The sequence below is a fragment of the Homo sapiens genome, chromosome 1, assembly GCF_000001405.40.
Source record: "Homo sapiens chromosome 1, GRCh38.p14 Primary Assembly".
In the NCBI taxonomy this organism is placed as follows: Eukaryota; Metazoa; Chordata; class Mammalia; order Primates; family Hominidae; genus Homo; species Homo sapiens.
The window spans coordinates 57,640,308-57,656,099 of NC_000001.11; the positions used below are offsets into that span (position 1 = coordinate 57,640,308).

The following is a 15,792-nucleotide window of genomic DNA, read 5'->3' on the forward strand; positions in this document are numbered from 1 at the left end:
GGTGCACTCCTATTAATGTTTTATGTCTAAATGTATTGTATTAACTTATGTTTCTATAACCATTTATACTTTACCAAGTATTTTCACATATATATCACCCTTACTCTTCACAACCACTTCTAATTTCCTTTTTTTACAGGTAAGGGAATTGAGGCTAAATGAATGAGGAGGGTGACACAAGAAACCAAGCCCACACAGCTAACAAGTGGCAAAGGGAGCCTTAAGTTGGATTTTCAGCTTCAAAGCAGGGCCTCTATCCACTTCAAAAAGCTTATTGCACTCCCCTGAGAGCCTATTCCCTTGTTCTAATCAATCCATGTTTAGGATATAACAACTCAAATAGGGTATTAGGTAAGTTAAATGGGTTCAGCACTAAGGACTCACTAAAAGAGAAGAATGGCTACATTTTATTGAACCTAATTTGTGAGCCATCTGGGAACATTACCTTCAATGGGACACCCAGAGCTAGTGTCCCCAGCTGAGACACTGATAAATAAAGACATCAGCATTAGAGTAACATTAGAGCTGCAGAGAAGTAAAGAATCTAGGGGCATGCAAGCTCAGGAAAGTCTTTTTATTTTTCCTGAATGCACTTATAGAAGGAGACATGCTTGGCTTAAATGAAGGCTGCTGTTAGATGAAATTCCTATAGAAATGTCCTTTGGAAGAATCATCTTGCAGCAAATTGGACACTCCCACAATGTTTGGTGTCTGAGTAACTTAGTCCTAGTGACTGCATTCAAACTCACTCCTGGCATTAGTGAGTTAATTAGTGTCTTAATTTCCTCATCCTTAAAACATAATAATTATTTCCTCTAAGGTTGCTATAAGGACAAAATGAGCAAATTGAGGCCTGGGAGTGGAGGTGGGATGGGTGAGTTGGGGTTAGCTCATTGCAGGGAAGCCAACCAGCAGAGCTTTCTTCTTCATACAAATCTCCACCTCACTCCCTTTCCAACTTTGATCTTATATTCTTATATACCTGACTTAGTCTAAATTCCTGGTTTCTTCATGGATAAAACCCAATGTTCCCTGGTGAAACTCTTGCCCAGTTCCCTCTTTTTTTTGTTGGTTTTTTTTTTTTTTTTTTTTTTGAGACGGAGTCTCGCTCTGTCGCCCAGGCTAGAGTGCAGTGGTATAATCTCCGCTCACTGCAAGCTCCGCTGCTGGGGTTTACGCCATTCTCCTGCCTCAGCCTCCCGAGTAGCTGGGACTACAGACGCCCGCCACTACGCCTGGCTAATTTTTTTGTACTTTTAGTAGAGACAGGGTTTCATCGTGTTGGCCAGGATGGTCTCGATCTTCTGATCATGTGATCTGCCCACCTCAGTCTCCCAAAGTGCTGGTTCCTTTTTTTTTTATAATTCAGTAACCCCAGCGTAATCTCTGAATAATATTTGTGTCAGGCTTATTTGTCTATGATCTGTCCAGAACAGATACTCTCCAAGTCTGGTTATTGCTATTCAAATCTTTTCCTTTGCAGTCTCATTATCTATCCTCTCATCCTGTATCCTTCTCTTCCTCCTTCCTTCCAAGAAGTGCTCAAGAACTTAGAGATCACCTCCTCAATTACAGGCTCCGAGATTTAGGGAAGTTGTGAGCAGTTCACAAATTTCATCCACATAGGTCTGGGTTAGAGTCCTAGTTCAGCAATTCACCAGTTGTGTGACTATAAGCAAACTGCTTCACGTCTCTGATCTTCTGCCTCTTTACTTACAAACGCAGATAACAATAGCTTTCTCACATGTCCAGGGTCTGATTTATTATCATTAGCATATGGAAGTGCTCAGTGATTTTTTTTTTAAGTTCTCAGAGCTAGGTGCTAGAAATAAAGATGCAAAACAAACAAGAAACAATGAAAAAACATGTCTCAGTACCATAGGAAAATGTAAAGAGTGAGAGAAAAATGCAAACAGAAAAATATAATATACCATGTTAAGTGATTTAATAAAGAATCTCCTGTTCCCCAAAGGACACAGACATTCCATACAGGAGGATTGCTGCTATTCTTTATCCATTGGAAGCTGATTCCCTAGCCCTTAGGTGCCTACTCTGATGTTGCTTGTCCCAAGCAGTAGGGAGCCTGTGTTGACCAGGTGCCCTGGAGCACCTCATTACACATTCTGGCACCACTCTGTAATAACAAGATCCACTTCCATATGTCTCCCCTCTACTCTACCTCTTTGCTCAGCCTTCTTGATCTGAGCTTATTATATATCCCCTCCCTCCCTCAAGCCCCAATCTTCTCTTATCAACTCTAGGTGTCTCTTGGATCAAATTCATTTTCTCCCCAACGCTAAAAATAAAAATATTCACGTTACAACTCCATCCGTTGCCTGGAGATAACATTCAGCTCTTCACACAGGCAGACCTTCTCCAGCTGTGCCAATTTAATCCTGTTCTGTTGCTTCCTTCATTTTGAATAGGATACCTTTGGCAGGTGAGGTGTTATGAACATCAGCGTGTTAAATCTTTAGCAGAGAATAACTCTCCGGGGCATTTTTTGTTCCATTTCATTTTGTCCCAGATGCTGTCATAATGTCTGCTAATATCTCTAGACTTTCTCCATGAGTTCTTTGGCAATTCATTAATACCTGTGCACCTCACACAAATATTACTTGAGCACCTACCATGTGCCAGATGCTGGACTACGGCACTTGTTTGATGCTTGTAAGATAGGCAGGATGTGTGTTGAGGGAGGACAATGGGGGAACAGCCAGCTATTTCTTCAACTTTGGCTATTGTTCACATATAAATGTGTGCAGGGGAGCAGAGTGAGGCTTGGTCATCAATGCGGATTTCAGCTGTCACCTTTTATCCTCCACATCTCTGTCTGGGGGCAATATACCTGCCAATTACGGAGATTTTTCTAGCCAGGTTTGTGCACTCACAATTGGCTGCCTATGTTGCACTTTAAGAATAAGATGTTCCTACAGTTACCTCTTCTCTTTGCATGGATACCCTCTGCTTGAGAGGTCAGGGGCTCTTGTCTTTGAATGGATAGTTATATGATTCATTCACACAGTTTCATTTGTATATACTTGATTTCATCACTTGGCTGTGTTCTTTTTTAAAAGTCTCTTACTTATAGCTTTTAGTTCCTTATTTGTAGTCAGATTTATAATAGATTGTTCTATCATGTCTATTTTTGCATTTGCTTTTATGTTAGTTATTAACTGGTTTGAGCAAGAGAATGTTTAGTTATTCTTTCATATTCAGTGTTTTCCCTTTGTGACATTTTTGATATATAAGGACTTTTTACATACACTCTTATTCAAAAGGAACCACTATATATTTCATTTCTTCAGCTTCTTCAAGAAACAATTTAGGAAAAGATTTACTATGGTAGATCCTGAATAGTATACAAATTTAGGTTATTACTACTTCAAGATATTTATTTGTATTAAAAAATGTGTCCTGATTTGCCACTCCATTACGAATTCTCAAGCTCAACACTTGGTCACAATTGGAACTTCCCTAACCTAGGCTTGGGCTAATCCGAGACTGGGTAGTCGGATTCAAGTTTGAAGGACCTCAAACATCTAGGACTGCTCAGGTTTCAGTGGACTCAGAGAACGTCTGAAAATAGGCTGGTCAGCAATTAGTGTGTCCATTTCACAACTGAGAAAACTGAGGCCCGCAGAAGCTAAATAAACAGATGCAGTCAGCACTCTGTGGTGACCAGACACAAACGAGGGTCTTCTGATTCTAAATTCTGTGATTTCCTCTCTTCCCTCTATATCACCTTGTGCCTTGTCAACATTCAGAATCAAGGCATTATCTTCGAAAGGCACAGGGAGGATGAGAAGGAAACAAGCCTGGTGAAATGGAATGGTCAGAAAAGCCTCTCTAGCATAGTACTACTTACGGGGTTAATTTCATGAGGAGCCTGATTTGGAAGTTCAAAAGAGGCGAGAAACTAGACAGAATGAACTGGAATGGGTGAGGTCTGTGGCGATGAGGTGGTGAGAGGCTTTAGGGCTGAGAGGCGCACAAGTCCAGAAGAGAAAGTAGGCTATATCAGGACTGAAAAACATTTTTGGATTACAAGGTTAATTTCTTTTTTGCTGTATTACAGAAAAGGGAGTCATAGAGGGAAGCTAGAAAATAAATGTGCTGCCTTATGAAGTAGGGAATTCCCTATTATAAAAAGCTCATGCCTGTCTGAATCAATCAGGGTGCAACCAGAGAAGCAGAAACAAGCACTTGTAGATGATGTATATGTGCATGCACATATGTGTGTGTATGCATATATATATACACACATACATATATACACACATACCCACATATGTACATACACACATATATAATCTCTTAGTGGTTGGTTCTGTTTCACTAATGAAAAAATGAATACATTATATAATATATATATATTTTATAACTATATATGCATTATTTATTTACTAGAGAGATTTGGCCTTACGCAATTGTGGGTGCTGGTTAAGCAGTCTGTAAGTCTGTTGTCTCACATCTGATGCTAGAGCTTGAAGCCCACTGGGCAAGCCATTAGGAAGGGAAAATGGATTTTAAAGGGGAAATTGAGAGCAGTTCAGAATCCGGAAGCATGAGCTGAAATCCCATGAGAATGAATGAGAACCTTGGTTTTTACTGCTTTGCAGCTTGATGATGTGGGTGACCTGTAGAAGCCAGAGTCCTTTGTCAAAGAGTTAAGCACACACATCTGGACATGGACATGGAGAAGCTGAAGGAGAATCCAGGGAGGGGGAAAGCAGTTACAGGCCCACATGCTGCTTCATGCTGCCAAGGTTCATCTGGATCCACAGATGAGCAACAGCATGTGAGTTACAGGATGGCTGCCACCTCCCTTCTATCCTCCTATACCTCCCAAGTCTCCCTGTGGCCTACCTAACTGAAAACATGCCAAGAAACCAGATTCTCGGTAATGTAATTCAATCTAGTCACGTTGGTATATTACAAAGCTACCATGCTATCCAGGAAGGAATATTGTAGCTGGCAGAGGGCTGACTGAGATGCTCTTTGGAGGCCCAGGAGAAGCTTAGAAACCTAGCAGGCCTTCTGACTGTTTAGCAGTGAGGTCATTTTCCAGCCAGGGAGGGCTCCTTGTGAACCCAGGGATTTAGCTGCTGTCTGTTTCTCTGCCCCTAGGAATTTTCATTTTATAAGACCAGCTATAGAGTAGGAAAGAGTCTCTTCAGCTTCTTCCTTCCTTGTTGTCAAAAAGATCAACATATCTGCCTTTTGCATTTTAAGGGTTTACAATGGTATATGTTTATTATTATGAGCAGTAATAACTGCTGACATTATAAGTCAAGACTGTGTAATGTTCCAGACCCTTTCACATGCATTATTTTGTTTAAGTCTTACAACAATACTCTATGGAAAGTATTATTGCTACCTTCATTTTCCTGATGTGAAACTGAAGCTTAAAGGGATTGATTTGCTCAATGTCAGACAGCTGTTATATCTTGGGGCAGAGATTTGAATCTAAGACATTCAGCTTTGAAAAGCAACACCACCACTGCCACCAAAAATAACAGAGAAGAAAGGGGAAATTACCACCTGGTTAAGAGCCCTCTCGAAGTTTTTACACTTGGGGCCTGGATATCTAGAATCTCCTACTTTCTTTCAAATTGGAAAATGTGTGATTCTATAAGAATGAAGAAGAAAAGTAGGGTAAGTAGATGGAATCTGAGGAAATAAAAACAAAGAGTCATATAGGAGGCACTAAAGGGAAGAACTGAAGAAGGGGGAGAAAAGAAAAAATAGCAAGAAAACATTTTTCTGTCTTGTTACCATCTTATTATCCAAATGGGAAAGGCATACTATCTCACCTATGATGGCTGCAGATGAATATAAAGATGGACAAATTAAAACAATACAATAAATGAATAACCAATAGCTCAATTATGCCAATTGAAGACTTTCAAGTAATTCTAAAAGGTAATGGCAAACAAAACAAAACAAAAAACCCACAAAAGAACACTAAAGAATGGGGACAGTTGCTTTAGCAACTATTCAGAATGCATTCTGAACCTTCTCAGGACAAGTCCCTGGGCTACTACAAGGGTGGCTAATGAGGACAGGCAGGTAGTCTACCACGTCTAGGACACAACAATAGCATGAAAGCCTTTGAAAGTCACTGAGTACATGCTGGTGCACAAAACTCTGGTTGCTGCTGGGCATGGTGGCTAATGCCTGTAATTCCAGCACTTTGGGAGACTGAGATGAGAGAATTGCTTGAACCCAAGAGTTCAAGATTACCCTGAGCCACATAGCAAGATCCTATCTCTACAAACAAATGAAAAAATTAGCTGGGTATGGTGGTGTGTGCCTGTAGTCCTAGCTACCTGGGAGGCTGAGATGGGAGGATCGCTTGAGCCCAGGAGGTTGAGGCTGCAGTGAGCCAAGATCATGCCACTGCACCCCAGCATGGGTGACAGAGCGAGACCCCATCTCAAAAAACAAAACAGAAAACAAAACCCCAAAATACTCTGGTTGCTGAAGAAATGTAACAGGCCGAGTGTGTTTCTCTCTAACCAACTGTGGCTCAGTGCTGCTGTATGCAGCTGGTCTTCTGTGGAATGTCTGCCTCGAACCCTTCTCACCCAGCACAGACTGCTCATCACTGAGGTCCAGCTCAAGTAGCACCCTTTCTCAGCACAGCATTGCTCTTCTGGGCTTATTTCTGTCTGCTCTATATGATTATAGTTTACCTCATTGAGCTCCTTGTGGGGAGGGATCGTATCCTTCTCTTTTTGACATTTACATTAATGACAGTACAAGCACCTAGGGAACACTCTGAAGTGTGGAGTCACTGTACTGCTCCATATTCTACATGCTTGTTGCCAGGGCTACTGAAGCCTGGAAGTCCTTCCTTGCAAAGGACTCTCAAAGCTCTCGTTTCTTCTTTATCTCCACTGACACTGCCCTAGTTTACTTCATCATCTCTTTCTAGGAATAGATGAATAACCTTCAAACATCGCCTCCACTACCTTCAGCAATGCATGATTTTATCAATGATGCACCTTCAAATAAATGATGTGTCTCCATTTCAAAAGCATAGGATGTTTTCCAGTTGGAGAGGTGGTAACTCCTTGGGACTCCCCCGGAGGCGAACATCCAGGGCTCCCACCTTCTCCAAGGGTAGGCTTTGCTTACTTATTTTCTTTTTCCCCAAACCATGTAAATAACGTCCCCCTAGAGAAGTCTTCAGGTCAACATTTGCTCTTCCTTCTTTGGCTTGCTGATTCACCATTCCTAACTGACCAAGCCAGGAGGATACTGCCAAGCCCCTTAACCTTAACCCAAGCAGGAACACAGACCACTGAGTTTCCTCAATGTTTAAGGATGAATACTTTTAAAACAGAATATATCAATAGGTGATAAGGATACCACATACCCAGATGTTATTTCCATCCTTCAAAGGTCTTTTGGCACATTGATCTTCTTAACAATCACAGAAGATAGATATTACTTTTTCTGCTTTATAAATCATCCAACAGAGGCTGAAAGGACTATGGTGACTTGGATAGGGCCTCACAGGGGCATAATGGCAGAGCTCAAATTAAAACATTGAAGTTCCGAGTCTAGGTAAGGCACATGTATGAGAAAGCTTTTACTCCATTGCTCTCAATGCTTACTGATTTTAAACTTCTAAGTCATCACAAATCTATATATTCTCAACCTCTGTCTATAGGCAGAATGCATTAAAGAGATTTATTAGACAGGCAATCTAGAAAAGATGACTGTTTTCAGAAGCTACTGCTCCCTAGTCCTCCTTAGGTAGAAAACCTTAATTTGTCTTCCCAAATTCACTCTACCTCAGAGAATAGCTTTGTGGATGGAAAGGCAATAATAAAAGATCAAACTCAGTCCAGCATCAAATGATCAGCCTCTTCTCTCTATTGCGGCAAATTACAGGCTTCCCCTAGGTGTAGCAGTTACTTACATGGTGAAGCTCATCTAAATAACCTGGCCATGCTATGGTGGTGGTGGGGCAGAAGGAGGAGGCGAGTGTCCCCCGACCCCAACCCCATTTCTCATTGAACTCTATTCATTAGAGGAGGCTGGGGTGCAAATCAGCTTAACATGTCAATAAGCCACCAACGAAATGCAAAAATTGACAGTTGAGGAATCCCAGCTCCCAACCTCCTCCACTATAGAAACCATCAGTAAAAAGGTTTCTCAGCCTCCTCACCAGGTCACTTAAATGAGTAATGATATTTGAGTCCCTCAGAGTAATTAATTTCCTCTGTCTCCAAAAGCTTCTCATATTTTTAATGAATTTTTACAAGTCTCAGATCCTCCAGCCTCCCCGCTCCTTCTCCAGTCCTGTTGTTCCCCAAGGTCCCATAACAAATAGCTCCCACTCATATTTGCCTTGCAAACTCACATAAACTGGAAATGATAAATATATTATCTGGGCTTTTAATGGACCATTGTTTAATTTTCTATGCTTGTCTGGCTGGAGAAGAGATGAATATTACCTTGTGGAGAATAAGATTTCTGTTCCATTTAAGGGGGGTTAGGGGTAATCTATGGCAGAAGAGCAATGCTCTGTTCATCCTAATAGGCAGTGCTGCTAATTAAAAGTGTTGGAAGGGACATCCATCCACCAGTCTGTGATTCATTCAGCATTATCCCCAGTAAACAAGAAATAGATATTGGAATGAATGCTTCTAATTTGTCAAAAGAATAGGCGTTTTCAATTGTGGATTCCTGGCTCCTGTATGAAGCACATAATTCAGGGTTGCCATCATTTAAAAGTTTAGGACGTCAAAATAACAGTACTTTCCCTTTATGCTCGTAAATCTCCAAGTCTGTTTTCCATGTTTCTGCATTTATCTTACATATTGTTTGAGTTTATTTTCCACAGTTGAGAATAGTTTCCTCTGTTGGTAAATATATTAAAATGGGCAGTGGGACAGAGGGGTGCATTTAAGAAAGAGAGCTAACATAGTTCTGTTGAAAATCAAGCCAATCTGAGATGATCTATTAGAAGTGGCTAAAACAGAGGCAGGAAAACCTAAGGATCCTGATGACATTTTCTAGGTACCTAAAGAAAAGACAAAAGAGAACCAATATTCTCTTCCTCTAACCATAAACACAAAGCCGACTAGAGAAAAGCAACCCGAAGCACCAATTCCAAAGGCTCCATGAACCCTCTGATATGTTTTAAGAAGGAATACAAAATACAAAAGCTACCACTTCGAGAGAACCCAGAGATATTTGTGGGAAATTTTCCCAAAGAGAAAGATTTTCCTTGTACCAACGATACCCAGCCAGACTCAAATATTTACCTTTGTGTTGTACAAAAGAGTTCTTCAATCATGAAGACTGAGAGTCAGGGCTCACCACCATGTCTTGCTGAGTGCTGAAAACAAACAAAACATGATATTTAAAAAAGTAAATATTAATTATTTAATGGTCTTGTTTTTCTTCTCTCTCAGTAAAGAAACATTTACTAACTTCCTCCCATACACCAGGCACTGGGAATAGAGAGATGGATAAAATAAAAATACCACTGACGAAAAAGTCAACAAATACAGACCACTGTGCGTGTTAGGCAAGAGGTAGTCACAGAATGCCTCTTAGAAGAGAATCAGGATACGTGTGTCTGTTTGTATCTGAGATACATACATATGCACATACATACATATCTACACATACACAAAAGAGTCTAAGAATTTTTAAAGAACTTCCCCACATTTTTAATTCATCTGACTTTCTAAAGGGCTTGGGCTCTTGCCTTGAGATCAGTAAACAGGCAGGCACTGGAGAAAATGTTGAGTCTTAAAAGCGATCAGACCCTTTAATCTGTAATTCAGCTTCCGGATTCCTTCTTCTTCGTCTTCTTTTTTTTAGAGACAAGGTGTCACTCTGTTGCCCACACTGAAGTGTGGAGTGCAGTGGCGGAATCATGGCTCACTGCAGCCTCAACCTCCTAGGCTTACGTGATCCTCCTGCCTCAGTCTCTTGAGTAGCTGAGGCTACAGGTGTGCCACCACGCCTGGCTAATTTTTGCATTTTTTTATAGAGACAAGATTTCACCATGTTGCCCAGGCTGGCTGGGTTCCTTCTTGAGGAAACAATTATGAATGCAGACCGGTATTTACGTACAGGGATATTCATCATAGGGTTATTTGTAAGAGGGAAACACCAAATAGAGGAATAAAAAAAATTGGTATTTCTGCATAGAAGAATAATATGTAAATATAAAAATAATTTTTTAAATGTTCACTATACAGAAAATATATTTTGTATAACAAAATTGTTGATAAAGTTTAAGCTCATCCACGGGTTGGTCCTCAGAAATAACAGTGGTCATCTTTGTAGTATGATTGTAGGTTATTTTTCTCTTGTTTCTTTATGCTTTCCAAATTTTCTACAGAGAGCATGCATTATTTTTCCAGACAGTAAAGAAGCAAACAGAAGTTTCAGCTCCAATATCACAATTCCTGTACCACTTTTCTCAATTAGTTGGGGACTCCCTATTCCCCAGCAATACCTCCATTCTGAAGATAACACTGCACTGGAATTATCCATTTCCATCTCTGCCTCCCCTGTTTGTGAGTGCCTCTGATGACGTTTTTATGCCTTATTAAACTTTGCTTCCCCTGAACCTAGTCAGAGACTGGCACAATTGTCATTCCATCAATGTTTGCTGCCTAAGGGAGGAATGAGTGTGTGAATGAAGGAACAAAAGAATTAATTAATGAAATGGACCTGACAAAAATTATATTAAGAAAATTGTTCATTCAAAATAATCAGTGACAATAAAAAGTGATGTTCCATTTGGATTCATAAAAGATACAAGAAGATGGAAAGCAGGGAGGCAGCAATTTTTCAGAGCAGTCAGTAAAACAAAAAAAAAAAGATCTTATGGTTAAAAATATACACACACACAAAGTCAATATAATAAAATATCACAGCCTAGTGATTTTCCAATGTATTCCAAGACCAAGAATCTGTTTAAGGCAGGAATATTTATCTAGTAACAATATCCCATTATAACAACTCAGTTATTTTACACATTTGGAGTTACATATATATAAACTAAGTAGAGATTTGTTACTAGTTTTAATCAGAAATGAATGGTCGACTCCCTGTTCAAGGGAAAAAAAGTTACAGGATAGATTATTGTAGTGCTTTTTAGAAATTCAATTTAGTCTACTCATAAAACTAGTGATATATAGCCAGGATATTAATATACAGTTATATTTTTCTGGAGGTAGACCTGGTTTAAATCCCATTTTTGTCCTTTAAGAGTTAGGTAACTTTGAACAATTTATTTGACCTCTCTAAGCCTCAGTTTTCTTATATATAAAGTGGGATAATAAGTCTAACCTGACGGGTTTATTGTAGAAAACAAACAAAAAAAAAATGACAGAAAGCCTGGAATTCAAAACAGGCTTAAAGTTCATGTCTTTTTACATAAAGACCTGGAGCTCTTAAACACACATCAATCTTCCTTTATATTATATGCCATAAAGTATGCTAAGCAATATACAAATATTTTCTCATTTAATCCTCCTCATATTTGTTGTTAGTGAAACCATCTTTGCAAAAATCATATCAGTGCGAAAATTACGGCAGTGAGGGTGATCTGACCTGACCAAATCTCTTCTTGCCTTTAGTCTTCAAGCTGCCCTTCATTATTTCTGGGCTTAAACCAAGGTAACTTTGGGAGAAATTTAATTTATAGTTTAAATGATAATAGCCTTCCCAAAACCCAACCACCTTTGTAAAGCTAATGAGAAACCAGAAGGCTAGGAGGATAGAGAAACCTGAATTTTGCTAAGGTGTAGACAAATAATTGCCAGCTATTATTCAAAGTTCACAACATATGCAATTTCCCCAGTTACTCCTGCAGATAACATCACTATTGCAGAACCTAAGATTGGCCTTTTGAAATATCTTTTCAGGTTTTTTGCACGTCTGATGACCTATGGCTCCACCTGGACCCAACAACCATGCCTGTGACCTCACCTGTGACCAGCACTACAGAAGGACCATTTCTCACACCCATATGATTGCACCCCCAATCAATCAGCAGCAAACACCCATTGCTCTATCCACTCCCACCCCTTCCCCCAAACTACCTTTGAAAAATCCTGCCCCAAAATGCTCTAGCAGGCTGATTTGAGTCAGAATAAAATACCAGTCTTCCGTTAGCTGGCTCTACGTGTAAAAATCTCTCTATTGCAATTCCCCTGCCTTGATAAATTGGCTTCATCTGGGCAGCATGCAAGAATGTAATCATTGGGTGGTTACATTAGGAGGTCCTGTTTTCTACTTTATAATCCTTCTGATTTCTGTAAAATTGGAAGAAACGTCCCCTCTTTCATTTCTTATTTTAGTTATTTAATTCTTCTCTCATTTTTTCTTAATGTAGCTAAAGATTTGTAAATTTTGATCTTTTTAAAGAACCAACTCTGTTTCATTTATTTTCTCTGTTGCTTTTGCATTCTCCATTTTATCTTATGTTTCCACTTTAAATAAGAGAAAATTGATGCTCACTATTAAACACTTAATGAGTGTCTGAGCCAAGATTCAAACCCAGAATGTCTGGTTCCAAAGCCTAATCTCATTAACTATTATGAAAAGAAGGCACTGAATCTGGGTTTGGACACAGGCTCTGACTCACACAAAGTTCAGTTTACAATTTTACCTTGTTGCATTTTATTATTTGGAATGCAAAGACTTGAATTTTATTCCCTCTTAAGTCACACTTAAGTGCCTCCTACTTATTTTCTTATTAAATATTTCAAGCATGAACCTGAATATAGACATAATTATAACAAAAACTTATGTACTGATACCAGCTTGGTCAGATATTATCATTCTGTCATATTTGTTTCAGACCTTTTTTAATATAAAACATTGTAGAAATAAGCAAACCCTCCCATGAATTTCTTCCCAATTCCACAAAGATAACGACTCTCCTAAATTTCCATACATATTTTTCTGTTCTAATACATAGTTGTATTCATAAACAATATATGTTACTGGTTTGCATGTTTTAAAACTTTGTTTAGATGGTATCCTAACGTAGGTATCCATTTAAAGCCTATTTTTTCTAATATTATATTTTCAAGATTTTGTCCATTAGACATAATTTTTTTAACATGTAGATAGTATTTTATCACGTGTTTATATTTTAGCCTAATGATCCATATTTGATGCATATTTGGGCAGTTTCCAAATTTTGCTAACACAAATAATGTTGCAATGGACAATGTATACTCCTTGGGTACCTATGTGTGAGATTTATCAGTGGACTTGCTGTGCCATAGAGTACATGCATCTTCAGAATTATTACATTATTATTTTTTTTTTGAGATGGAGTCTCGCTCTGCCACCCAGGCTGCAGTGAAGTGGCACTATCTCTGCTCACTGCAACCTCTGCCTCCCCAGCTCAAGCAACTCTCCTGCCTCAGCCTCCCCAGTAGCTGGGAATACAGGAGCCCACCACCACGATCGGCTAATTTTTGTATTTTTAGTAGAGACGGGGTTCGCCATGTTGGCCAGGCTGGTCTCAACTCCTGACCTCAAGTGATCCACCTTCCTCGGCCTCCCAATGTGCTGGGATTACAGGCCTGAGCCACTGTGCCCGGCCTATTAGATATTGCTCTACAAAGTGACAGCAGCATTTATACCAATCTGGCGTTAGTTCACACTGTTACCAGCATTTGGTATTGTCAGATCAGATTTAAACATTTTTCCAATTTGATAGATATAAAATATCTTATTGTGTTTTAGCATGTATTTCTCTACATGCTAAAATACAATAGTGAGATAGAACATTCTTTTGTAGTTTATTTAATTGGCCATTTAGGTTTTCCCTTCAGTGATTTGCTTTTTCATATGTCCATTTTTCTATTGGGTTGTTATAGAAGGGAGACAACACACACCAAAAATAAATAAATAAATAAACATTAAAGAGAGAGTAAAACACCTAGTATGTCAGATGGTCACATGTGCCATGGAAAAACTGGAAGCAGAAAAGGGAAAAAAAGAGTGCTGAGGATGGGAGTTCCATTTTAAAGGAGGTAGTTAGGGAAGACCTCACCAGAAGGCGACATTTAGTAAAGTCCTAAAACAGGTGTGGTCACAAGTTATAGGAAGAGGACCCTAAGTAGAGGAAAGATCAAAATGGTAAAGTGATAATATTTGACTAAGATATGTGGTGGTATATAGGGGTTTGTTATAATTATGTTCTATACTAAATTTGTTTGCTTTCAATACCAACTCTTATGTGGGTATATATGTTGAAAATATTTTTCCTATGTGAACATTTTGTTTAAAATGACATATTAAACTTCTAAAATTTTAATGTAATGAAATATATTTAACTCTTCTCTCATTTTTTCTTAATCTAGCTAAAGATTTGTAAATTTTGCTCTTTTTAAATAACTAACTGTTTCATTTATTTTCTCTGTTGCTTTTGCATTCTCTATTTTTTATCTTACGTTTCCACTTAAGAAAGAGAAAATTGATGCTCAGTATTAAACACTTAATTTCCCTTTACGGTAAGTGCTTCCTTTGGTTTTACTCAATAAATCCTTTCCTACACCTGAGTCATAAAGACCTATAATTACTTCTAATATTTTTAAAGTTATGCTGTTGGTACTATTTATATAATATAAAGTCAGAATTAAGTAACCTTTCTGTATAGCTATGCTTTGTCCTGGTACCATTTATTTCTCATTTCATCATTTCTACTCTGAAATAATGCATCTGTGATGACAAAGTTTCTACTACACACAGTCTGTTTTGGGGCTGTATATTTTGTTCCACTAGTTTTCTATTCCTGTGCAAGTATTCATGCTATCTTAATTACTATAATTTTATCCCAAATTTTCATAACCAATAAGGCATATCCATCCATCCATCAATCAACTATCCATACATCCATCAACCAACTATCTACATATCCGTCCATCCATCCATTCATCCGTCCATCCAACTGTCCATCCATCCATCTATCCAACCACTCATCATACATCCAACCCATCCATCTATTCATTCTCCACCCTACATACTTCATCATCAATCATCCATCCATCTAACCATCCATCATCCATCCATCCATTCATCCTCCACTCTCCAGTCTTCATCATCAATCATCCATCCGTCCAACCTTCATCATTCATACATCCACCCATCTATCCTTCCATCCACCCATACATCATTATACTTCATAAATATTTGTTGACAGTCTAACTGTACCAAACACTGATTTGAACACTGGGGATTTAATAACAAACTAGACTTACATTCCTACCCTTACGGAACTTGCATTCCAGGGGACAGAGAAAGACAATAAACAACTAAATAATTGAATATAGAGTGTGTCAGATGGCGATAAGTGCCACGGAGAAACATGAAACAGGGAAAGGGGATCTGGCACACGTTAGTGGCTGAAATAATACACAAACTACAAATATAGTGGAACAAAAAGTAACTTTTGTAAAATATACAATAGAAATTTAGAGTTTGGAGAAAAATTTAAAATGCTCATATTTGGGATCTAGCATTGTTTAACAACTTTTGTTGAAGAACCTCTACCCCTAATGAGGTAAAAAATTTAACCAGTTCTTTCCAAGCTGTGACTACATAGGAAAGTCTGTTTTCAATGGTCTGAATGTTTGTGACTCTCCACCCCTGCTAAATTCATATACTGAAATTGGAACCCCCAATATGACGGTCTTAGGAGGTGGGGACTTTAGGAGGTGATTAGGTCATGAGGGTGGAGCCTTCATGAATGGAATTAGTGCCCTTATACAAGGTACTACAGAGAGTTCT

The 15,792-nt window shown here is 38.8% G+C and overlaps 1 protein-coding gene across 4 annotated transcripts in view; it reads right to left on the reverse strand.

The window, feature by feature from the left end:
• The window catches only part of DAB1 (DAB adaptor protein 1), a 1,551,949-nt gene that overhangs the window by 645,530 nt on the left and 890,627 nt on the right, over positions 1 to 15,792 (reverse strand). For all 4 annotated transcript variants that reach the window (NM_001379461.1, NM_021080.5, NM_001379462.1 and 1 more), the window contains one exon: positions 9,285 to 9,358. The gene's annotated coding sequence lies outside the window, so the exon portion shown is untranslated. The remainder of the gene's footprint in view (positions 1 to 9,284; positions 9,359 to 15,792) is intronic.